This window comes from Homo sapiens, chromosome 1 (genome assembly GCF_000001405.40).
Source record: "Homo sapiens chromosome 1, GRCh38.p14 Primary Assembly".
Classification (NCBI taxonomy): domain Eukaryota; kingdom Metazoa; phylum Chordata; class Mammalia; order Primates; family Hominidae; genus Homo; species Homo sapiens.
In genome coordinates this window covers 19,974,615-19,999,404 of record NC_000001.11, presented here as the reverse complement: position 1 = coordinate 19,999,404, position 24,790 = coordinate 19,974,615, and the positions used below count along the sequence as shown (strand labels likewise).

At 45.7% G+C, this 24,790-nt stretch overlaps 1 protein-coding gene across 8 annotated transcripts, besides 4 other annotated features; it reads left to right on the top strand.

Moving 5' to 3' along the window:
• Nucleotides 8,564–9,139: an enhancer, noted in NCBI's record as "OCT4-NANOG-H3K27ac hESC enhancer chr1:20316759-20317334 (GRCh37/hg19 assembly coordinates)". NCBI's record gives its function as "activates a minimal SCP1, AML or CMV promoter by ChIP-STARR-seq in primed H9 embryonic stem cells {active_cell/tissue: H9 hESC(primed)}" and the evidence as "EXISTENCE:reporter gene assay evidence [ECO:0000049][PMID:30033119]".
• Nucleotides 9,140–9,714: an enhancer, noted in NCBI's record as "OCT4-NANOG-H3K27ac hESC enhancer chr1:20316184-20316758 (GRCh37/hg19 assembly coordinates)". NCBI's record gives its function as "activates a minimal SCP1, AML or CMV promoter by ChIP-STARR-seq in primed H9 embryonic stem cells {active_cell/tissue: H9 hESC(primed)}" and the evidence as "EXISTENCE:reporter gene assay evidence [ECO:0000049][PMID:30033119]".
• Nucleotides 10,132–10,301: an enhancer, noted in NCBI's record as "experimental_1574 CRE fragment used in MPRA reporter constructs". NCBI's record gives its function as "activates a minimal promoter by MPRAs in K562 erythroleukemia cells, with activity observed for the introgressed 1:20315682 variant allele {active_cell/tissue: K562}" and the evidence as "EXISTENCE:reporter gene assay evidence [ECO:0000049][PMID:34662402]".
• On the top strand, nucleotides 18,971–23,974 carry PLA2G2A (phospholipase A2 group IIA). 8 transcript variants are annotated; one of them, XM_047422594.1, is made up of 7 exons: nucleotides 18,971–19,043; nucleotides 19,482–19,598; nucleotides 19,715–19,825; nucleotides 20,526–20,671; nucleotides 20,881–21,025; nucleotides 21,284–21,390; nucleotides 23,562–23,974. In XM_047422594.1, exons 4-7 carry the CDS (start codon nucleotides 20,632–20,634, stop codon nucleotides 23,702–23,704), a joined length of 435 nt encoding a protein of 144 aa, XP_047278550.1. In that variant the 5' UTR covers nucleotides 18,971–19,043; nucleotides 19,482–19,598; nucleotides 19,715–19,825; nucleotides 20,526–20,631; the 3' UTR covers nucleotides 23,705–23,974. The 8 variants fall into 8 exon arrangements, with proteins under 8 accessions (XP_047278550.1, XP_047278549.1, NP_001155199.1 ...); XM_047422593.1 differs by lacking the exon at nucleotides 19,482–19,598 and having other exon boundaries at nucleotides 19,634–19,825; nucleotides 20,494–20,671; NM_001161727.2 differs by lacking the exon at nucleotides 19,482–19,598 and having other exon boundaries at nucleotides 19,746–19,825; nucleotides 23,562–23,970.
• Nucleotides 20,644–21,143: an enhancer, noted in NCBI's record as "H3K4me1 hESC enhancer chr1:20304755-20305254 (GRCh37/hg19 assembly coordinates)". NCBI's record gives its function as "activates a minimal SCP1, AML or CMV promoter by ChIP-STARR-seq in naive H9 embryonic stem cells {active_cell/tissue: H9 hESC(naive)}" and the evidence as "EXISTENCE:reporter gene assay evidence [ECO:0000049][PMID:30033119]".

Genomic DNA, 24,790 nt, shown 5'->3' with positions numbered 1-24,790 from the left:
CCATAAATTTATAGGTACAGAAGTTATAATTGGTTGAATAGTCCCATGTTGTCCATCAGGCCCTTCACAATGCAAAATATAACTACTTTGATATACTTCAGGGACTTTACCAACTCCAACTATATTAAATTGAGTGGGTTGAATTGGCCATGCAGATGGCCAGTGCTGTAGAGAAATGATTGAAATGTCCACTCCTGTATCTACCAAACCTTTAAATTTCTTTCCCTGAATAGTTATTTCACAAGTAGGACGTTTATCAGTAATTTGATTCACCCAGTAAGCTACTTTGCCTTGTTTATTTGTACTTCCAAATCCTCCTGTTCATTTAATTTCACTTTTCCCCATTTCCACATACGGCACAATCAGGAGCTGTGCTACGCCCTCTCCTGGCTCTGCTTTCCAGGGAACAGAAGTAGATATAACAATTTGAATTTCCCCATTGTAATCTGAATCAATGACTCCTGTATGTATTTGTACCCCTCTTAAATTTAAACTAGAACTTCCTAGAAGTGATCATATCATACCCTCTGCAAGGGTCCACAGACTCCTGTTGGGACCTTTTGTGGGGGTTCCCCAGGCAGAAGGCTCACAGATTTTGTGCAGCATAAATCTACTGTGGCACTACTGGCTGTGGTGGGGGACAGACATTGTATGGGGGTGAGAGAATGGCCTGCACTGGAAATGCCCCAGTTTAGAATGGGGCCTGGGATGGGCCCCTCATGGTTTTTTCCGAAATCAGGTTCCCTTCTTTATCAAACTTAGAGTGACACTGATTAGCCCAATGTTTTCCTTTTTTATATTTTGGACATATTTCAGACTCAGCAGTTTTCTTTTTTCCCCTGTCTGGCAGCCTGACTCGCTGATTATTTCTACATTCTTTTTTAGTATGAATAGCTTGTTTAAATTCTTTGAGTAATTTAAAAGGAAAAGGCTCAAATGTAGCTATAATATTTCCTTGTTGATCTGGGGGGGTGTATTCTAACAGGGAACTGCCAAGCCTCTAAATCACCCTCTCATCTAGCTTGCTGAATTCCTGCCTGAATAGAACTAAGAGTGATCGCTCAAGGCACTGCTCAAACAGTCACTGGGGCAACTACTTTTCGCCCAGTGTTCTCCGGAAAAGAAAGATCTGGAGGGTCATTTTCTTCAAAATAATGAGGGGGAACACAAGGGTAGGGATGAACCTCTCCCTCCTTTGCCGCTTTAGCTTTAGCTGGCAAATAAACCTGGTCTGTAACCTCTTCTGTTACTTCATTATACTCTCCTTCCTCCGCATCATCAGTGTGAAAAAGTTCCAAGGTGGAATGAATCACAGCCCACACTTGTCCCATTGTTACCCTGATGCTTCCGAGCTCCCCTTCTTACTCACCACGGGGATTGCTTTAAGAGTACTCGGGTGTCCTCCAGCTAGTTCCACATTCTCCAACCATTGCTCTGGTGACCCTTCAACCTGGATTTGAGCCCCCACGATGGACGCCACTTGCCAAGACCAGCTCAGTCGGGGAGACCCTAACCCAGCGGCGCTAGAGGAATTAAAGACACACACACAGAAATATAGAGGTGTGAAGTGGGAAATCAGGGGTCTCACAGCCTTCAGAGCTGAGAGCCTTGAACAGAGATGTACCCATGTATTTATTAACAGCAAGCCAGTCATTAGCATTTTTTCTATAGATATTAAATTAACTGAAAGTATCCCTTATGGGAAACAAAGGGACGGGCCGAATTAAAGGAATAGATTGGGCTAGTTAACTGCAGCAGGAGCATGTCCTTAAGGCACAGATCACTCATGCTATTGTTTGTGGCTTAAGAATGCCTTTAAGCAGTTTTCCACCCTGGGTGGGCCAGGTATTCCTTGCCCTCATTCCGGTAAACCCACAACTTTCCAGTGTGGGCATTATGGCCATCATGAACATGTCACAGTGCTGCAGAGGTTTTGTTTATGGCCAGTTTTGGAGCCAGTATATGGCCAGATTTTGGGGGGTTTGTTCCCAACACATAGTCCCATATTTCTTAGAGGCTTTGTTCATTTCTTTTTACTCTTTTTTCTTTAATTTCTCTTCTCACTTTATTTCATTAATTTTATCTTCAATCACTGACACCCTTTCTTCCACTTGATCAAATCATGTATTGAAGTTTGTCCATGTGTCACCAAGTTCTTGTGCCATGGTTTTCAGCTCCATCAGGTCATTTCAGGTCTTCTCTACACTGTTTATTCTAGTTAGCCATTTGTCTAATCTTTTTTCAAGGTTTTTAGCTTCCTTGCAATGGGTTAGAACAACTTCCTTTAACTCGGAGAAGTTTGTTATTACAGACCTTCTGAAGCCTACTTCTGTCAGCTTATCAAAGTCATACTCCATCCAGCTTTGTTCCATTCCTGGCAAGGAGCTGTGATACTTTGGAGGAGAAGAGGCACTCTGGTTTTTAGAATTTTCAGCTTGTCTGCTCTGGTTTCTCCCATCTTTGTGGTTTTATCTACCTTTGGTCTTTGATGCTGGTGACCTACCGATGGGGTTTTGGTGTGGATGTCCTTTTTGTTGATGTTGATGCTATTCCTTTCTGTTTGTTAGTTTTCCTTCTTAGAGACAGGTCTCTCAGCTGCAGGTCTGTTGGAGTTTGCTAGAGGTCCACTCCAGACCCTGTTTGCCTGGGTATCACCAGCAGAGGCTGCAGAAGAGCAAATATTGCTGCCTGATCCTTCCTCTAGAAGCTTCATCCCAGAGGGGCACCTGCCTGTATGAGGTGTCAGTCAGCCCCTACTGGGAGGTGTCTCCCAGTTAGGCTACACAGAGTTCAGGGACCCACTTGAGGAGGCAGTCTGTCTGTTCTCAGGGCTCAAACACTGGACTGGGAGAACCACTGCTCTCTTAAGAGCTGTCAGACAGGGACGTTTAAGTCTGCAGAAGTTTCTGCTGCCTTTTGTTCAGCTATGCCCTGCCCCGAGAGGTGGGGTCTACAGAGGCAGCAGACCTTGCAGAGCTGCAGTGAGCTCTGCCCAGTTTGAGCTTCCCCAGCCACTTTGTTTACCTAGTCAAGCCTCAGCAATGGTGGACACCCCTTGCCCTGCCAGGCTGCTGCCTTGCAGGTCTATCTCAGACTGCTGTGCTAGCAGTCAGCAAGGCTCCATGAGCATGGGACCCACCAATCCAGATACAGGATATAATCTCCTGGTGTGCCGTTTGCTAAGATCATTGAAAAATCACAGTATTAGGGTGGGGGTGTCCCAATTTTCCAGGTACAGTCTGTCACGGCTTCCCTTGGCTAGGAAAGGGAAATCCCCTGACCCCTTGTGCTTCCTGGGGGAGGTGATGCCCCACCCTGCTTTGGCTCACCCTCCATGGGCTGCACCCACTGTCCAACAAGTCCCAAAGAGATGAACCTGATACCCCAGTTGGAAATGCAGAAACCACCATCTTCTGCATTGATCACGCTAGGAGCTGCAGACCGGAGCTATTCCTATTCGGCCATCTTGGAATGGACTGATTTCTGCATTTCCAACTGGGGTACCCTGTTCATCTCATTGGGTCCAGCCCACAGAGGGTGAGCAAAAGCAGGGTGGGGAGTTGCCTCACCCAGGAAGTGCAAGGAGCCAGGGGCCTCCTTTTCCCAGCCAAGGGAATCTGTGAGGAATTGTGCTACCTGGCCCAGATACTATGCTTTTCCCATGGCTTTTGCAATCCACAGACCAGGAGATTCCCTCGTGTGCATATACTACCAGGGCCCTGGGTTTCAAGCACAAAACTGGGCAGCTGTTCAGGCAGACACCGAGCTAGCTGTAGGAGTTTTTTTGTTTGTTTGCTTTTTTGGTACCCTAGTGGTGCCTGGAACCCCAGTGAGACAGAACCATTCACTGCCTTGGAAAGAGATCTGAAACCAGGCAGCCAAGTGGTCTCACTGAGTGGGTCCCACTCCCACAGAGCACAGCAAGCTAAGAGCCACTGGCTTGAAATTCTTGCTGCCAGCACAGCTGTTTGAAGTCAACCTGGAATGATCCAGCTTGGTGCAGGGAGAGGCGTCTGCCATTATTGAGGCTTGAGTAGGCAGTTTTCCCCAGACAGTGTTAAGGAGGCCTGGAAGTTTGGACTGGGTGGAACTCAACACAGCGCAGCAAAGTGGCTGTGGCCAGACTGCCTCTCTAGATTCCTCTTCACTGGGCAGGTCATCTCTGAAAGAAAGGCAACAACCCCAGTCAAGGGCTTATGGATAAAACTCCCATCTCCCTGGAACAGAGCACCTAGGGGAAGGGGCAGCTGTGGGCACAGCTTCAGTGGACTTAAACATTCCTGCTTGCCAGCTCTGAAGAGAGCAGTGGACCCTTATAAGGAGGGTTCTCCCAGCACAGCACTCAAGCTCTGCGAAGGGACAGACTGTCTTCTCAAGTGGGTCCCTGACCCTCCTGCCTCCTGACTAGGAGAAACCTCCCTACAGGGGTTGAAAGACACTTCATACACTAGAGCTCTGCCTGGCATCAGGCCAGTCCCTCTCTGGGACAAAGCTTCCAGAGGAAGGAGCATGCAGCAATCTTTGCTCTTCTGCAGCCTCCGCTGGTGATACCCAGGCAAATAGGGTCTAGAGTGGACCTCCAGCAAACTGCAGCAGACCTGCAGAAGAGGGGTCTGACTGTTAGAAATAAAACTAACAAACAGAAAACAATAACATCAACATCAACAAAAAGGACCCCCACACAGAAACCCCATCCAGAAGTCATCAGCCTCAAAGATCAAAGGTAGATAAATCCACAAAGATGAGGAAAAACCAGCGTAAAAAATGCTGAAAATTCCAGAAACCAGAATGCCTCTTCTCCTTCAAATGACTGCAACTCCTTTCCAGCTAAGGCACACAACTGGACAGAGAATGAGTTTGATGAATTGACACAAGTCAGCTTCAGAAGGTGGGTAATAACAAACTCTTCTGAGCTAAAGCAGCATGTTCTAACCCAATGTAAGGAAGCTAAAAACCTTGACAGAATGTTATAGAAACTGCTAACTAGAATAACCAGTTTAGAGAAGAACATAAATCACCTGATGGAACTGGAAAACACAGCACGAGAACTTTGTGAAGCATACACAAGTATCAATAGCTGAATCGATCAAGCAGAAGAAAGGATATCAGAGATTGAAGATCAACTTACTAAAATAAGGTGTGAAGACAAGATTAGAGGAAAAAAAATGAAAAAAGCCTTCAAGAAATATGGGACTATGTGAATAGACCAAACCTACGATTGATTGGGGTCCCTAAAGTGACGGGGAGAGTAAAACCAAGCTAGAAAACACACTTCAGGATATTATCCAGGAGAACTTCCCCAACCTAGCAAGGCAGGCCAACATTCAAATTCAGGAAATACAAAGAACATCACTAAGATACTCCTCAAGAAGAGCAACCCCAAGACACATAATTGTCAGATTCTCCAAGGTTGAAACACAAGAAAATATATTAAGGGCAGCCAGAGAGAAAGGTCAGGTTACCTACAAAGGGAAGCCCATCAGACTAACAGGGGATCTCTCTGCAGAAACCCTACAAGCCAGAAAAGAGCGGAGGCCAATATTCAACATTCTGAAAGAAAATAATTTTCAATCCAGAATTTCATATCCAGCCAAACTAATTTTCGTAAGTAAAGGAGAAATAAAATCCTCTACAGACAAGCAAATGCTGAGAGATTTTGTCACCACCAGGCCTGCCTTACAAGAGTTCCTTAAGGAAGCACTAAACATGGAAAGGAACAACCAGTGCCAGCCACTGCAAAAACACACTAAAATATAAAGACCAATGACACTATGAAGAAACTGCATCAACTAATGTGCAAAATAACCAGCTGGCATCATGATGACAGGATCAAATTCACACATAACAATATTAACCTTAAATGTAAGTGGGCTAAATGTCCCAATTAAAAGACACAGACTGGCAAATTGGATAAACAGTCAAGATCCATCAGTGCACTGTATTCAGGAGACTCATCTCAGGTGCAAAGACACACATAGGTTCAAAATAAAGGGAAGGAGGAATATTTACCAAGCAAATGGAAAGCAAAAAACAAACAAACAAACAAACAAAAAACAGCAGGGATTGCAATCCTAGTCTCTGATAAAACAGACTTTAAACCAACAAAGATCAAAGAAGAAAAAGAAAGGCATTACGTAATGGTAAAGGGATCAACTCAATAAGAAGAGCTAACTATCCTAAATATATATGCACCCAATACAGGAGCACCCAGATTCATAAAGCAAGTTCTTAGACACCTACAAAGAGACTTAGACTCCCAAACAATAATTGTGGAAGACTTTAATACCTCACTCTCAATATTAGACAGGTCAATGAGACAGAAAATTAAAAAGGACATTCAGGACTTGAACGCAGCTCTGGACCAAGAGGACCTAATAGATATCTACAGAACCCTCCACCACAAATCAAGAGACTATACGTTCTTCTCAGTACCACATAGCACTTATTCTAAAATCGACCACATAATTGGAAATAAAACACTCCTCAGCAGATGCAAAAGAATAGAAATCATAACAGTCAGCCTCTCAGACCATAGTGCAATAAAATTAGAACTAAGGATTAAGAAACTCAGTCAAAACTGCACAACTACATGGAAACTGAACAACCTTCTCCTGAATGACTACTGGGTAACCAACAAAATTAAAGCAGAAATAACGAAGTTCTTTGAAACCAGTGAGAAAAAAGAGACAACATACCAGAATCTCTGGGACACATTTAAAGCAGTGTGTAAAGGCAAATTTGTAACACTAAATGCCCACATCAGAAAGCAGGAAACATCTAAAATTGGCACCCTTATATTACAATTAAAAGAACTAGAGAAGCAATAGCAAACAAATTCAAAAGCTAGCAGAAGGCAAGAAATAACTAAGATCAGAGCAGAACTTAAGGAGATAGAGACACAAAAAACCCTTCAAAAAAATCAATGAATCCAGGAGCTGGTTTTTTGAAAAGATTAACAAAATAGACCACTAGCCCGACTAATAAAGAGGAAAAGAGAGAAGAATCAAATAGATACAGTAAAAAATGATAAAGGGGATATCACCACTGATCCCACACAAATACAAACTACCACCAGAGAATGCTATAAACACCTCTATGCAAATAAACTAGAAAATCTAGAAGAAATGGATAAATTCCTGGACACATACTCCCTCCCAAGACTAAACCAGGAAGAAGTCAAATCCCAGAATAGACCAATAACAAGTTCTGAAATTGAGGCAGTGATTAATAGCTTACCAACCAAATAAAAGCCCAGGATGAAATGGATTCATAGCCAAATTCTACCAGAGGTACAAAAAGGAGCTGGTGCCATTCCTTCTGAAACTATTCCAAACAATAGAAAAAATCCTGATTCCAAAACCTGGCAGAGACAACAAAAAAAGAAAATTTCAGGCCAATATCCCTGATGAAAATCAATGCAAAAATCCTCAATAAAATATTGGCAAACCGAATCCAGCAGCATATCAAAAAGCTTATCCACCACGATCAAGTCAGCTTCACCTCTGAGATGCAAGGCTGGTTCAACATACACAAATTAGTAAACATAATCCATCACATAAACAGAACCAATGACAAAAACTACATGAGTTCAATAGGTGCAGAAAAGGCCTTCGATAAAATTCAACACTCCTTCATGCTAAAAACTCTCAATAAACTAGGAGTTGATGGAACATACCTCAAAATAATAAGAGCTTTTTAGGACAAACCCACAACCACACACCAGGGCCTTTTGGGGGTTGGGGGGAAAGGGGAGGGAGAGCATTAGGACAAATACCTAATGTATGTGGGTCTTAAAACCTAGATGACAAGTTGATAGGTGCAGCAAACCACCATGACACATGTATACTTATCAATAAACCTGCATGTTCAGCACATGTATCCCAGAACTTAAACTAAATTTTTAAAAAAGAACAATCCAATTAAAAAACTGGCAAGAGACATGACCAGATATCTCACAAAAGGTATACAGATGGCAAATAAGCACATGAAAAGATGCTGAACATGATACGTCATTAGAATTACAAATTAAGGCTGGGCGCAGGGGCTCGCCCCTGTAATCCCAGCCCTTTGGGATGCTGAGGCAGGCAGATCACTTGAGGTCAGGAGTACAAGAACAGCCTGGCCAATATGGTGAAACCCCATCTCTACTAAAAATACAAAAATTAGCTGGGCATGGTGGTGCACTTCTGTAACCCCAGCTACTCATGAGGCTGAGGCAGGAAAATCACTTGAACCCAGGAGGCAGAAGTTGCAGTGAACTGAGATTGTGCCAAAGCACTCCAGCCTGGGTGACAGAGCTAGACTCCATCTCAAAAAAAAAAAAAAAAATTACAAATGAAAACCATGAGATGCCATTACACGCATATTAGAATGGCTAATATCCAAAATACTGACAATATAAAATTGTTACTGAAGTGTCAGGGGTTTGGTCTAGGTCTTGTTGCTTACAGCACAGAAAGTCAATCACCAAGACAGTGAGTACTGCCAGGGAAGAAGGCTTTGATGAGATGCTGCAGCTGAGACAGTGGGAGATCAGTCTCAAATCCACCTGCCCAATCAATTAAAACTGGGAAGTTATATAGCAGGGAAGAAATGTATCCATGTGTAGGAAAACAACAATTAGGAAGGGATAAGGAAGAGGAGTTGGTCAATAGGAAGCAGGTAGTCAGTTAGGTCTATTGGGGGAAATTCAGCCAGATATCGGGCAAAATTCACCCCCGATATTTCATGTAGTTTCTTTTCTATTTTCCCTAAGTGTCAGCTGGTCTGAGAAATAAAGAGACAGACTACAAAAGAGAGAAATTTTAAAGCTGGGTGTCCAGGGGAGACATCACATGTTGGCAGGTTCTGTGATGCCCCACTAGCTGCAAAACCAGCAAGTTTTTATTAGTGATTTTCAAAAGGGGAGGGAGTGGGTCACAGAGATCACATGCTTCACAAGGTAATAGAATATCAAAAGGCAAATGGAGGCAGGACGAGATCACAGGACCACAGGACGGGTCGAAATTAAAATTGCTAATGAAGTTTTGGGCACGCATTGTCATTGATAACATCAGGAGACAGGGTTTGAGAGCAGACAACCGGTCTGACCAAAACTTACTAGGCGGGAATTTCCTCGTCCTAATAAGCCTGGGAGTGCTACAGGAGACCAAGGCTTATTTCATCCCTACAGCTACAACCATAAAAGACAGCCGCCCCTGAAAGCGGCCATTTCAGAGGCCTACCCTCAGGGATGCATTCTCTTTCTCAGGGATGTTCCTTGCTGAGAAAAAGAATTCAGCAATATTTCTCCCATTTGCATTTGAAAGAAGAGAAATATGGCTCTGTTCTGCCCGGCTCACCGGCAGTCAGAGTTTAAGGTTATCTCTCTTTTTCCCTGAACATTGCTGTTAACCTGTTCTTTTTCCAAGGTGCCCAGATTTCATATTGTTCAAACACACATGCTCTACAAACATTTTGTTCAGTTAACGCAATCATCACAGGGTCCCAAGGCAACATACATCCTCCTCAGTTTAAGAAGATGAAGGAATTAAGAGATTAAAGACAGGCATAGGAAATCACAAGGGTATTGATTGGGGAAGTGATAAGTGTCCATGAAATCTTCACAACTTATGTTCAGAGATTGCAGTAAAGACACGCGTAAGAAATTACAAAAGTATTAATTTGGGGAACTAATAAATGTCCATCAAATCTTCACAATTTATGTTCTTCTGCCATGGCTTCAGTTGGTCCCTATGTTCGGGTTCCCTGACTTCCTGCAACATAGTCCATTATGACAGGCAAGGGATCTGGTGTCTTATTGTCCAGATGCAGTTATCTGGTAAGTTTCAATTCCTTGATACTATCTCAGAGGCTTGCTGGTTGGTTTCCTGAGAAAGGAAGTCAGACAAGACAAATGTAACTTTCTCAAGTTTTAAGACTGGGAGAGTCAATTTCCATGTTTATTCAAAGAAACCATAAACATCAGTTCTACAGGACAATTGGGCTGGTTTCAAAATGGCTGGTGAAGATGTGGAGTAATAGAAACTCTCATTCATTGTTGGAGGGAATGCAAAATGGTACAGCCGTTTGGAAGACAGTTTGGTATTTTCTTATGAAAATACACATTAAACTCTTGTTGTATGATCCAGCAATTGTGCTCCTTGATATTTACCCTAATAAGATGAAAACTGATTTCCACACAAAGACCTGCACATGAAATGTTTCAAATCTTTATAGCAGCTTTATTCATAATTGCTAAAACTTGGAAGCAACCAAGTTGTCCTTCAGTAGGTAAATGGATTAACTGTGGTACACACGACAATGTAATATTACTCAATAATAAAAATAAATGAGCTATCAAGTCATCAAAAGACATAGAGGAAACTTGAAGGTATATTGCTAAGTGAAAGAAGTCAATTTGGAAGGCTACATACTGTATGATTCAACTACATGACATTCGAAAAAGGTTAAACTATGGAGACAGTAAAAAGATCTTGGTTGTCAGGATGATGTTTGGGGGAAGGAGGAATAAATAGGCAGAGCATAGAGAATTTTTAAGGTAGTGAAACTACTCTGTCTCATACTGTAAGAGTAGATACATGTCACATTACATTTGCTAAAACCCATAGAGTGTATAATACCAAGAATGAGCCCTAATATAAACTATGGACTTCCTTTGATGTGTCAACATCAGCTCATTGATTCTAACAGAGGTACCACAATGGTGGGGGATGTTGATGGTGAAGGAGGATGTGTGTTTGTGGAAGAGGGAATATGTGGGGACTCTCTGTACTCTCAGATCAAGTTTATTTTGAATGTCACTGCTCTTTCAAAAAGCCTTTTAAAATAAGGAGAGGGAGAGAGAAGGAAATGCAGTGTTTAGCCTTCTAGCCTCTGCAATACTGAGAGACACGCCAGAAGGCTGGAATAAATGTTGAGTGAGCTAAGCCACAGAAACCGCTTACCCAGATAACTCCTAAACTCCCTCCAGACCTCTGGTAAAGTGCCATCTCCTTAGAAAACCTTCTCTGATCCCCCGACTAGTTGAGGGCTCTCTGCCTCATGCTGTCCCAATGGATCATGGCACATGACATTCTATAATTGTGCATGTGTGTGTGTGCATGTGTGTGTGTGTGAGATCATCTGACTGATGTCTGTCTCTGTTGCCAGATTAAAAAATGCTCTCAGGGAAGAAATTGTTTCTGTTTTGCCCACCATGGCATTACCACATAGTGCCTGGATTATTGAGTAGGTCCTCAATAAATATTTATTGAAGGAACAGTGATATTTTTAAAACTGTAAGAAGAATGAACGCAAAATGAAAAGTCTAACAGAGCATTCTGTTGCTGAGGCCATGGAGGAAAAGACAGTCTCAAACATTAGTAGTGAGAATGTGAGCTAGTTCAACCATTCTGTAGAAGAATTTGACATTACCTAACAAAATTACACATGCACTTACCTTTTGACCCAGTAATCCTACTTCTAGGAATCTGTCCAGAAGATACATCTCCAATGTTATGAAAATACACATGCACAGGTTGCTGACTGAATCAATATTTGTAATTGTGAAACACTAGAAAAAACCTAAATGCCTATTCTCGGAGAATGGTTGGGAAAATTACAGTACATTCCCACAATGGAGGACTATAGAAATGCAAGAGGGGCTTTGACCCTGTCAGGGAAGCCACCAGGAAAGACTTCCCTGAGTTAGGAGGAAAAAAATTAAACATTTTTTTTTTTAAAGAAAGAAGATCTCTATCTGCTTATATGAAGTGATTTCCTAGATATACTGTTGGGTAAAAATAGCAAAGTACAAAATGATCTACGATATGCTATCCTTTGTGTAAGAAAGCAGAGTCTAAAAGAAAATAAACATATACCTACACATTTATGCAAAAGATTCAGGAAGAATCAACCAAAAACGAATGAGATTGGCTACTATGATAAACATACCCTAGAATGACCTCCAGTGAGTTTACCTTTGTATAATCCTTTCCCAAAGAACCTGTGAATTGCTTCTAACTAACAGAATACAGCAAAGGATGTGGGGTAGTCAGACCCTTGATGAGGCTACATTATGGAAGATTTCAGTCTTAGCAGATTGGAGTGAGTGATTCTCCTGGTGGCCTTGAAGAAGGGAGCTGCCATGTTGTAACTGCCTATGGAGAGGAAGTCTAGGAGCTGAGGCCATGGAGGAGCATGGGGGCGGACCAAGCAGAGGGGTATGATCTTTACATAGGAACACAAGCCAAACAACTTGTTTGCAGTCTTATGAGATAAGAAACCTATGTTGTTTGTTTGTTTGTTTTTTGAGACGGAGTTTCACTCTTGTTGCCCAGGCTAGAGTGCAATGGCGCGATCTCGGCTCATGGCAACCTCCGCCTCCTGGGTCCAAGTGATTCTCCTGCCTCAGCCTCCCGAGTAGCTGGGATTACAGGCATGTGCCACCACACCCGGCTAATTTTGTATTTTTAGTAGAGACAGGGTTTCTCCATGTTGGTCAGGCTGGTCTCGAACTCCTGACCTCAGGTGATCCACCCGCCTCAGCCTGCCAAAGTGCTGAGATTACAGGCATGAGCCACTGCACCCAGCCAGAAACCTATGTTGTTTTAAGCTGCTAAGTTTGTGATAACTTATTACGCAGCAACAGATAACTAACACAGTTACCTACGGGCCATGGGGAGAGAATGAGGTGGGAAAAAGAGGAAAATGAGAAGATAGTAGGCATGAGTGAGAAGCAACACCTCTGAGTATACTTTTTAGTATGGCTTTCACCTTGTTTCACATGGGAAGGCTTCACATACCCTCAAAAGCAATAAATAATTAAAATCAACCAGGAAAAAGGTAGAGCCCAAAATGGAATACAAATGATAACAAATATATTTATAACTATATGACAAATCAATATAATAACCACTCTTAAGGTAGGCTGCAAGAAAAGAGATAACCTATGTAACTTCAGAAAACAGTATTTTGATGGTATACCACAAAGCTAAAGATACAAATAACTATACACAAATACAGTACTGTAGTTAGTAAATTTATTTCTCACAGTTATGGATTAATAATTCTGAAGCTACTTCAATTGTACTATAATTGAACAAATAAGTAAATATATTGTGAAAAATAAACTTGTCAGAGAAAGGAGTTATAAATAAGGAAGGGGGAGGCTGGGCGTGGTGGCTCATGCCTGTAATCCTAGCACTTTTGGAGGCTGAGGTGGGCAGATCACGAGGTCAGGAGATTGGCTAACATGGTGAAACTCCGCCTCTACTAAAAATACAAAACATTAGCCAGGCATGGTGGCAGGCGCCTGTAGTCCCAGCTACTCTGGAGGCTGAGGCAGGAGAATGGCGTGAACCCGGGAGATGGAGCTTGCAGTGAGCCGAGATGGCGCCACTGCACTCCAGCCTGGGCGACAGAACGAGACTCCATCTCAAAAAATAAAAATAAAAAATAAAATAATAAATAAGAAATGGGGAAGGTTATAATTACCTATATGGTTTTGAACTTTTTTCCAAAAAAATAATTGGAGGTATCGGGGCCACGCACAGTGGCTCACGCCTGTAATCCCAGCTCTTTGGGAAGCTGAGGTGGGTGGATCACGAGGTCAGGAGATCGAGATCATCCTGGCTAACATGGTGAAACCCCGTCTCTACTAAAAATACAAAAAATTAGCCGAGTGTGGTGGCGGGCACCTGTAGTCCCAGCTACTCAGGAGGCTGAGGCAGGAGAATGGTGTGAACCCAGGAGGCGGAGCTTGCAGTGAGCCCAGATGGCACCACTGCACTCTGGCCTGGGCGAAAGGGTGATACTCTGTCTCAAAAAATAATAATAATAATAAGTTTGAAGATCTTGTGGTGCAAGAAAGGAAGTGTTTTTGCCTGAGCTCAGGAGATTGAGACCAGCCTGGGCAATATGGCAAAACCTCTTCTCTAATAAAAATACAAAAAATCAGCCGAGCATGGTGACACATGCCTGTAGTCCCAGCTATTCCGGAGGCTGAGGCACGAGCATTGCTTGAACCCAGGAGGTGGAGGCTGCAGTGAGCTGAGATCACGCCACTGAACTCCAACTGCCTGGGCAACAGAGCAAGACTCTATCTCATTAAAAAAAAAAAAAAAAAAGATGAGAACATGTTAAGACAACATAGGTGTAAACTTAAAGGAACTCTTCATGGCCAAGATGGAACAATTTGAGTTAGAAAATAAATAGCATAGAAAATAAGCCCCTACTAATATAAATGGTTGAATACACAACTAGAAGGAAAAGTTTTGCCCACAGTAGAATTCAAATTCTTCATATAAAAAGAATGAGGAAACCAGGAAAACACCAGTAATAATTGCTACAGCCAAGAACTTTTGATTGATGCTGAAATGGCTACAATTAGTGAGTGGAAGGAGGTATTGAGAGGTGACACCCTGCTGGCAGCCCTTGCAGCCCTCGCTTGCTCTCGGCGCCTCCTCTGCCTGGGCTCCCACTTTGGCAGCACTTGAGGAGCCCTTCAGCCCACCACTGCACCGTGGGAGCCCCTTCCTGGGCTGGCAGAGGCTGGATCCTGCTCCCTCAGCTTGCGGCGAGGTGTGGAGGGAGGGGCGCGGGCAGGAACCAGGGCTGCGCGCAGCGCTTGCAGGCCAGCGCAAGTTCCGGGTGGGCGTGGGCTCAGTGGGCCCTGCACTCGGAGAGGCCAGCCTGCCCTGCCGGCCCCAGGCAGTGAGGGGCTTAGCACCTGGGCCAGCAGCTGCTGTGCTCGACTTCTTGCCGGGCCTTAGCTGCCTCCCCGAGGGGCAGGGCTGGGGACCTACAGCCGGCCATGCCTGAGCCTCCCCTCTCCGCCGCCGTGGGCTCCTGCGCGGCCCGAGCCTCCCCCACGAGCGCCATCCCCTGCTCCATGGCGCCCAGTCCCATTGACCACCCAAGGGCTGAGGAGTGTGGCACACAGCGCAGCACTTGCAGGCAGCTCCACCTGCGGCAGGTGCGGGATCCACTGGGTGAAGCTGGCTGGGCTCCTGAGTCTGGTGGGGACTTGGAGAACCTTTATGTCTAGCTAAGGGATTGTAAATACACGAATCGGCACTCCGTATCTAGCTCAAGGTTTGTAAACACACCAATCAACACCCTGTGTCTAGCTCAGGGTTTGTGAATGCACGAATCGACACTCTGTATCTACCTACTCTGGTGGGGACTTGGAGAACCTTTGTGTCCACTGTATCTAGCTAATCTAGTGGGGAAGTGGAGAACTTTTGTGTCTAGCTCAGAGATTGTAAATGCACCAATCAGCACCCTGTCAAAACGGACCAATCAGCTCTCTGTAAAACAGACCAATCAGCTCTCTGTAAAACGGACCAATCAGCAGGATGTGGGTGGGGCCAGATAAGGGAATAAAAGGAGGCTGCGGAGCCAGGAGTGGCAACCGGCTCTGGTCCCCTTCCAGAGCATGGAGGCTTTGTTCTTTTGCTCTTTGCAATAAATCTTGGTGCAGCTCCCTCTTTGGGTCTACACTGCTTTTATGAGATGTAAGACTCACCGCAAAGGTCGGCAGCTTCACTCCTGAGCCAGTGAGACCACGAACCCACCAGAAGGAAGAAACTCCAAACACATCTGAACATCAGAAGGAACAAACTCCGGACACGCCGCCTTTAAGAACTGTAACACTCACTGTGAGGGACCGCGGCTTCATTCTTGAAGTCAGTGAGACCAAGAACCCACCAATTCCGGTCACAGTATGGTGAGAAAAGGGACATTTGAACCATCTCAAAGTATCTCCCCACAACATATTTATTAATTACAAAAGGAAAAATAGTAACTTTACAGTGGAGAAACCCGTCAGACACCATCTTAACCAGTGATCAAAATTAACATGAGTAGTAGTGAGATATACCAATATCATCGAGAAGGACACCATATCACTTTGTAACATTCTTGCTAAAAATACATAACCTCAATCTGATCATGAGAGTGTATCGGACAAACCCAAAATGGATGACATTCTACAAAAGCTTGACCAGTACTATCTAACAGTATCACAGTCATAAAAGGCCAAGAAAAGTATGGAGATGTCACAGATTAGCAAAAACTAAGGAGATATGAAAACTACATGCAATGTGAGAGCCTGGAAGAAAAAAGACATGAGTAGGAAAACTGGTGAAATTAAAATAATGCCTGTAGATTAGTTAATAACATGAATTTCCTGGTTTCCATGATTGTACAATGGCTATGGAAGATGTTAACATTAGGGAACCTGGGTGAAGGGCATTTTTTCTGTAAGTAAAAATTCCACTTTTGCAATTTTTTTCTGTAAGTAAAAATTTATCTCAAAAAAATTTTTAATGTATGTTCACAAAGGAACATTAGGAAACAGTAGCAGAAAAATTTCAACCGTAATCCTGCAATTAAAAACAACTGCTGGCCAGGCTTGGTGGCTCACGCCTGTAATCCCAGCACTTTGGGAGTCCCAGGTGGGCAGATCATGAGGTCAGGAGATCGAGACCATCCTGGCCCACATGGTGAAACCCCGCCTCTACTAAAAATTCAAAAATTAGCTGGGCGTGGTGGCACATGCCTGTAGTCCCAGCTACTCCGGAGGCTGAGGCAGGAGAATCTCTTGAACCTGGGAGGCGGAGGTTGCAGTGAGCCGAGATCTCACAACTGCACTCCAGCCTGGCGACAAAGCGAGACTCCGTCTCAAAAAAAAAAAAAAAACGAAAACAACAACAACAAAAAAAACCTGCTTATGCAGATATTGATTTGGCAAAAGAAAAAAACTTGTCAATATGCTGATTCTTTTAGTTATTAATAATGCAAGGAAAGTGTTCTGAGCACTGACTAAGCTCAAAGCACCTCTCTTTGAGCACTCCAATCTTATGTAAAATTGCCATCCTCCTACTCCAGATACCCCTCCTCCATCCCTACTGTAAGAATTAAGGAAAGAGGAAAGAAACATGAAAGCTGGCTTGGCAGTCAAGGACAGGTTTATTTTAGAGAGGGGCAGCTGTCTGAGTTAGGTCAGAGGCACACACTTACAGACTAAGAGTTTTTAAGGATTCAGGGTGGGAGAGTTTAACAGAGGCTTGGACTGCTTCTGTGTCTTTTTGTTGTGCCTATCTGGAAGGGAGAGTTTCTGTGTCTGTTCCCATACATCTTTCTGCAGCCTCAGGCATACTCCCCAAGTCTGCTTTTAGCTTTCCTATCTTAGTGCACCTGAAGGGAAAAGAATGTGCTTATTAAGGCTCACTGTTTTACTGGGGCCCATTTTATGAGGGTGAAGTTTGGCAGTTGCCAGAGAAACTTTCCGAACACCTCCCTCTCTGCCCGAGCTGTCTTATCTGTGTTTTATCTGTGTTTTATCTGTGTTTTACTGTCTACTCTTTCTGGCTGTTTGTAGTGAGAAGAGAAATGATTTCCTTGAAATGCATGAGGCTAGAAAGGGAGCTGGAACTTAAAGTGGTGGTGTTTGTCCGAGATGACGGTGCTCCTGCCCTGTCACCTACTGCCTCTCTCCCCATTGCAGTGTCACCACCTATCACATGATGTCATTTACTAGTATGTCTTTTGCTGATTGTCTGTCTCTTTCTGCTTAAGCGGAAGCCCTGTGAAAGTAGAGGTTTCTGTTTGGCTTACTGAGTCCAAGGGCTTGGATTAGGTCTGGGATGGAAGATGAACAAGAGGCCAATTCATGGACTTTGAATTCCTGTAAAACAGCCTGAAATGATGGGAAAAGGAGAGGCTCTATCCGACGTCACCAGAGTCCTTGAGCGTTGGAGTATTTCTTTCAACTGAAGCCTGGACCAGGGCTATCCAGATATACAGAGAGGGAGGCGGTTCTGCCTATTGGAGGAACTACTGTTTCCGAAAGTGCAATGTTTAACAAAGGCAGTGGTCTACCCCGGGGGGTTGAGACCTCTGAACCCTGACGTGGCCATAAAGCCAACTGCTATAGGACTGGCAACCCAGAATAAGAAGAGTGAAGGAAGCCAACAGAGATCCCTGGAGGTTGTGTTAGTTTGCTTCGGCTTTGTATTAGGTACTTTGTGGCTTACACAACAGACATTTTATTGTCTAACAGTTCCAGTGGCAGAAATCAAAGGGCCCAACAGGGTTGATTCCTTCTGAGGGCTGTGAGGGAGAATCTGCTCCATCCCTCTCTCCTAGCTTCCAGTGTTTTCTGGTAATCTTTGCCATTCCTTGGCTTGTAGAAGCTTCACCCTGATCTCTGCCTTCATCTTTGTATGGCCTTCTCCCAGTGTGCCTGCCTGTCTCCAAATTTCCCATTTTTGTAATGACATCTGTCATCTTGGATTAGGGCCCATCCTAGCTGCCCTAGTGATCTCCTCTTAACTAATTATATCTGCAATGACCCTATTTTTAAATAAGATCACATTCTAAGGTACCGGGACTCCAACACAGGAACTGAGAGCAGGAAGGAGGACCACAGTCCAACCCCTTACACAGTCGAGCACTGGAGGTAAATGGTATTCTCGAGAGGAAAGCTGTTTGATGGCTCTTGGGATAGATTAGGTTATGCTCCAGCAACTGCCCATCTCAATTATCATCAGCTTAATACAACAAAAGTCTATTTCTCACTCACACTAAGACCCCTGTGAGCTGCAGGACTTTCTAGGACAACTGTCTTCCGTGCCATGATTCTTACACCCCAGATTGCTTTCATCTTCTGGTTCTACCAGTGGGGCAGGGAAGGGCTGGGGAGTTGCATCTCATAGTCCCCTTGCTGGAGAAACCTGGAAGTGACCCTTCATACCAGTGCTCATGTTTTACCAGTCAGCAGCAGGGCCCTAGGTCTCCATCCCTGCAAGGGGCTCTAGAGTGTAGGGAACAGATGGAATGTTCACAAGCACCACAGCCCCTGCCACAGTGACTTTTTTAGGACTGGTATCGCAGAGTGTTTACTTAAGGCGGTGGAAGCTAAATTCTTAGCATGTGCTGGAGAGCAATGAAAAAGATATTTACTTTATGAATTAAAGCTGGAGTCAGTGTCAGCCCGAAGGCTGAAGGAAAAAGAGCAACAGATCCAGGGAGCATTCACCTGCCCTGTCTCCAAACAGGTGAGGATGGGGAATAAAGTGAAGGCAGTGCTTTGGTGGGAACTTCAAGGATAGCCTCTGGCTTTTTCCAGGTTTAGAAGCTCATATGAGACAGGGGTGGAGGAAAAGAAGAAAGAAGAATAAGAAGAGAAAGTTGAGGCCCTGGCCCAAGTTAGTGGGAAGGGAAATCCACCCCCATTAAACTCTCTCCCTGGTGGACTGTGGGGTGCACACGTGAGGCCTGCACAGGTGCTGGAACATGGTAGAGGCCCAGGACATACTTCCTGTGAATGAATGATTGAGCGGCTGAATGAATGAGTACCACTAAAAGCCCTCTTTTCTATTCCCAAATGCCACATTGAGCAGAAGGGAGCAATCCTTGCTCAGCAATTGGTAGTCCCTTTGGGTGTGCAAATGAGTCCACAGCCTGCAACAGCAGACAGTCTCTGCCCCCCTTAGAGGCGATTGCAGGGAGGTGGCTGACCGTTGATCACACCCAGAGCTGGTTATGGGAATTTACTCCATGGAAAGACTGCAAAACTGCCTGAAATGTGTTTTGGCATCAGCTACTGACACGTAAGGTTTCCCAATCCTCAACTCTGTCCTGCCAGCTGATGAGGGGAAGGAAAGGGATTACCTAGGGGTATGGGCGACCAATCCTGAGTCCACCAACTGACCACGCCCATCCCCAGCCTTGTGCCTCACCTACCCCCAACCTCCCAGAGGGAGCAGCTATTTAAGGGGAGCAGGAGTGCAGAACAAACAAGACGGCCTGGGGATACAACTCTGGAGTCCTCTGAGAGGTAAAGAGCCAGCGAAGCTGATGTCCTGTCAAGAGCAGAATTCCTGCTCATTCGCTGCCTTTGAGAGTGGCTGTGTTGTGCATGCATGTGCATGATTTGATATGTATGAGAGGGTGTGTGTGCATGAGTGTGTTGAGTGAGTATGTGAGTGTAGTGTAAGAGAGGATGTTGGCACTATCAGGTAAGTACGAGAGTGTGTGTATGTGGGCATAGGTGTGTTAACATGTATGTGTTTGGGAACTTGTGTATGTGGAAGGGGTTAGAAGGCCTAGAAGAGAGAGGTTGATGCTTTCATTCTGGAGGAAAATACTGAGGCCGAGCCTCCATGGGTGCCTTGGAGACTCCAAGCCTTGAATCCAGTGTGGGGATATGCAAGCTATGTCTAGCGAGGGACACATCCTCTGACCTCAGGAACCTCCCAGGTAGTTGGGAGGAACCTGGTTCCAACCTCCCAAGAACTCTCAGTCTGATGAGGTACAGGGGAGGTCTCATTAGTGTATCATGGGGTTCTCCACAGGTCTGAGGGCCTGATGTGTGTGAAACCATTCTGCAGAGCTGGGAACGGGTCAGGAGGTGGTTGTGTGTGTGTGTGTGTGTGTGTGTGTGCATTGCTGGAGGGCACTCCTTGTGTGCTCTGAGTGTGACAGAGGAAGTCACCCTGGACTTAGGTTGGATGGGAGAGCATGTCTGTGTGTCTCAGAGCCACCAAGGAGGAGCAGGGGAGCGACGGCCGGGGCAGAAGTTGAGACCACCCAGCAGAGGAGCTAGGCCAGTCCATCTGCATTTGTCACCCAAGAACTCTTACCATGAAGACCCTCCTACTGTTGGCAGTGATCATGATCTTTGGTAAGAGCTGACCCTGACCTCTGAGCATGGGGGGACAGCCCCAGAAGGGAAGCACTCTTGTCCCTTAGTTTTCTCTCCCATTGCAGTGATCCTCTCTCAGGGGGAAAAAAGAAGCCATTTGGGAGGAAGGAGAGTAGCAGAGAGGGGCAGAGAGGGAGGGCGCAGAACCCCATGCCCCATCACCAGACAACTCCCAAATTTCCTTCCAGGCCTACTGCAGGCCCATGGGAATTTGGTGAATTTCCACAGAATGATCAAGTTGACGACAGGAAAGGAAGCCGCACTCAGTTATGGCTTCTACGGCTGCCACTGTGGCGTGGGTGGCAGAGGATCCCCCAAGGATGCAACGGATCGGTGAGGCCACCTATCCCTCCCTACCCTCCTAGACTCTGGCCCAGGCAGGGCTGGGAGCTGCAAAGACAGTGCCGGTTCCTGATGGGCGCAGAGGTCTCAGGATGGCCTGGCTGGAAAAGCAGCCGGCATGTTGGAACTTCTGCTCTAGACTGTTGCAAAGTCACTGGGTCTCTGCCCAGGGTCCAAGGGGGTGAGACCACAGGCACCAGGCCTCCTGGAGCTGTGGGACAAGAGCCCCAACAGGGTGTCTCCTCACAGCTGCTGTGTCACTCATGACTGTTGCTACAAACGTCTGGAGAAACGTGGATGTGGCACCAAATTTCTGAGCTACAAGTTTAGCAACTCGGGGAGCAGAATCACCTGTGGTAAGAGTCCTACCTCACCATCGAGTGGCCCTCATTTGTTTAGACAGTGCTGGGGACTGTGCTGGGCACCAAAGATAGACACAGAGGGACACAGTTCCTGCTTCAGGAAGCTCACGGTTGAGTGGGAAGCCAGGAAAGTGAAAATCCAATGTAGTAAAGACTCCAGTGGGAAGTAAACAAACAGATAAGGCATTAACACAGCCTGAGGCTTGAGGAAGGCTCCTGGAAGGGGTGACCCCTAAGCTGAGTCTGAAAGGCTGTGCAGAGAGTCAGGGAAGAGGAGGGAGCATTCCCAGAAGAGGACACAGCATGGTCAAAGGCACTAAAGGGCACTGTAAGCCATTCTGTACTGCCCAGCAGAAACATGAGGAAGAGGAGCAGTGCTGAGCCATGATGCTGGAGACATAGGAAGGAGCTAGGTCAATCCGGCCCTCCAGGCCGGGCTGTATTTAGGTTTTGCCCTAAAGCAATAGGATGCTATTAAGCAAAGGAGCTACAGGGTCAGATTTGCATTTTAGATGACTCACTGTGGGGACAGGGTCGATGGAGACAAGTGGAAGGGGGGCAGAGAAAGCTATTGCCATCATGCAGGCAAGAGGGAGTAACATCTTGACATAAAACAATGGAGGTCAGGATGGGAAAGGTGGAGAAAAAATCAAGATGCATTTGAGATGGAATCAGCTGAACTGGTGACTGAGTTGGGAGGGATGGGGAGAGGGAGTTGTTGGATGGATATGTGGCTGCATGGATGGCACAACTGTGATAAAGACCATGGGAGCAGGTCATGGTGGAGGGTGGGGAGGAGCAGTTCTATTTCCAGCATGTTGAGTTTAGGGGCCTCCAGCACCCAGGGAGGGGTCCAGCAGGCAGCTGTCTATACAAATGCAGCTCAGGGGAGAATTCAGGACTGGGACACAGATTCAGAAGCCAGCAGCAGAGACCTGAGAGGTGGGTGTGATCACTCATTTGCTGTTTAAAGGCCCAGAAAGGAGACAGAGAAGGGATGGACAGAGAGGGAGAAGGGGAACTGAGCGAGAAGGTCAAGGAGTCAGTAAGGAAATGGTTAGCAAGGGCCAAGTGAACAGGGAGTCCTCCATGAAAAGGGCCAACAAGGCTCCCCTGGATGTTGAGGCAGAAACGCATGAGGGACTCAGGGGAAGCTGTTTCCATGGAGTCGGGAGGGCAAAGCCAGATTAGACCAGGTGGGGGCTGATGGGAAGGCAAATAAAGACAGGAGGCAAAGACAACATTCTGGAGAAAGTTTGGCCCTGAAGGGGAGGAGAGGTGGGTGGCACTGGAAGGCTTTGCTTGGTGTCCCCAGACAGCTGACTCATGAGTGGGATTTGGAAAAAGCGTGGACTCCTGCCCATGGCCTGAGTCCTTTAAGATCAGAAATTATGTCTCCCATCATGGCCTCTCCATAGAGGCATGTATCTTCAGCAGGCGTTAGGTCACAAGCCACATGATGCCAAGCTGACAGTGGCTTGCATAATGGGGATATGTGACTGTCGCATAACTAGAATTCTGGAAGAGTGCAGTGCCAGGCTTGGGGCAGCTTTCCAGCCATGTCATTAAGAATCCAGCCTTCTCCTGGCCTTCAGCTATGCCACGTGGCCAGTGTCTACACCTGGGATGTCAAGAGACAGGCTGCAGGTCCACCCTCCTGGCCTCATACTATGGAAGAGGCTTTCCTTTTGGGCATCTCTCTTTTTGGAGGGAGGAAATAGATCGTTCCCAGAAGCCCCCAGCAGACTTCCCCTTGTTGCTCATTGGTTGGAACAAGGTTACATGATACACAAAGACCAATCACTGCAAAGGAAAAAGGGATGACCCTGCCTGGCTTACACCAATCACAATCTATTCCCAGACCCCCGAGGCTAGGGCTTTGCCTCCTGGACACATCTGTTAGCAAGAGGAAGAGATTATGGCTGTTAGGAAGGCCTTTGAGAAAGTATCCCAGTGCCTGGCTGTGTCTCCACCAGGCTGGAGGCCAGCATCCCAAGGGCAAGAATTCTGTCTCCCCATTGGTCAGAAATATCTGGAGCGCAGGTGTTTGTCTCCAACTAGGAGCTTCTGGAGGACAGGGCTGTGTCTTCTACCCCAGGGTTCCCACAAGAAGCCACTGAATATTAATAAACTCCCATCTTGTGTTTATTTTCTTATGATTTCAGCAAAACAGGACTCCTGCAGAAGTCAACTGTGTGAGTGTGATAAGGCTGCTGCCACCTGTTTTGCTAGAAACAAGACGACCTACAATAAAAAGTACCAGTACTATTCCAATAAACACTGCAGAGGGAGCACCCCTCGTTGCTGAGTCCCCTCTTCCCTGGAAACCTTCCACCCAGTGCTGAATTTCCCTCTCTCATACCCTCCCTCCCTACCCTAACCAAGTTCCTTGGCCATGCAGAAAGCATCCCTCACCCATCCTAGAGGCCAGGCAGGAGCCCTTCTATACCCACCCAGAATGAGACATCCAGCAGATTTCCAGCCTTCTACTGCTCTCCTCCACCTCAACTCCGTGCTTAACCAAAGAAGCTGTACTCCGGGGGGTCTCTTCTGAATAAAGCAATTAGCAAATCATGTATATGTGTGTGTGTATGCATTGCCCTATGCACTGTTAGCATGAGAACAAACAGGGGTAGGGGTTAAAAATACAGGCTCTGAGTCTGGTGTAGTGCTGTGTGCCTGTTGTCCCAGCTGCTCGGGAGGCTGAGGCTGAAGTGCAATGATTGCTTGAGCTCACAGAAGTTCAAGGCCAGCCTGGGCAACACAGGGAGACCTTATCTTTATAAAAACAAAACAAAACAAACGAAAAAAATAGCTTCTGGAGTCAGACTGGCTGTGTCAAATCCCCGCTCCCCCATCTCACTAAGCCTTAGTTCTTTCATCTAGATGGAGATAACACTGGTGCCTCCTGCATGGGCATGTTTGAGAATTAGAATGATGACAAATGAAAAGCTTTGGGTCTGATATGTCTGATAGCTGCCATGACTACTACAAGCGAAACCCAGACATCTCCCTCCCCTTCCCTAGGCAATAGCAGCTCCTACTGGCCTGCTGGGAGAAAGCAGGAAGGTTGGTCTTAATCTGGGAAGCTGTAGTCCAAGTCTTCCGCATGGAATGCTCTTCTCCTGTGTTGCCAGTCTAGTAAGGAGGAAATGTGGGGTGATATAATGCTGGCCACCAGCTGGACCCTGGGGGTGTTATCCCGTCACCAGGGTTGGTTTCCCAGGTGTGCAACCCCTGCAGTCCCATAGCATCCTGTGTTTGGAAGGGTGCCACGCCTGGTTTAATGCTGCGCTGTGGCTATCTGAAAAGTCTTACTAATCTTTAATCAAGAGTTCCTTCCCACACTTCATTTTGCACTGGGCTGCCCAAATTTATTTATTTTTATTATTTT

Bases quoted from the DNA above. Each gene is read 5' to 3' on its own strand.
- PLA2G2A (XM_047422595.1), top strand. From the start codon at position 20,632: ATGAAGACCCTCCTACTGTTGGCAGTGATCATGATCTTTG. The intron at 21,026-21,283 runs GTGAGGCCACCT...GTCTCCTCACAG, and splicing joins CCCAAGGATGCAACGGATCG to CTGCTGTGTCACTCATGACT. The intron at 21,391-23,561 runs GTAAGAGTCCTA...TTATGATTTCAG, and splicing joins GGGGAGCAGAATCACCTGTG to CAAAACAGGACTCCTGCAGA.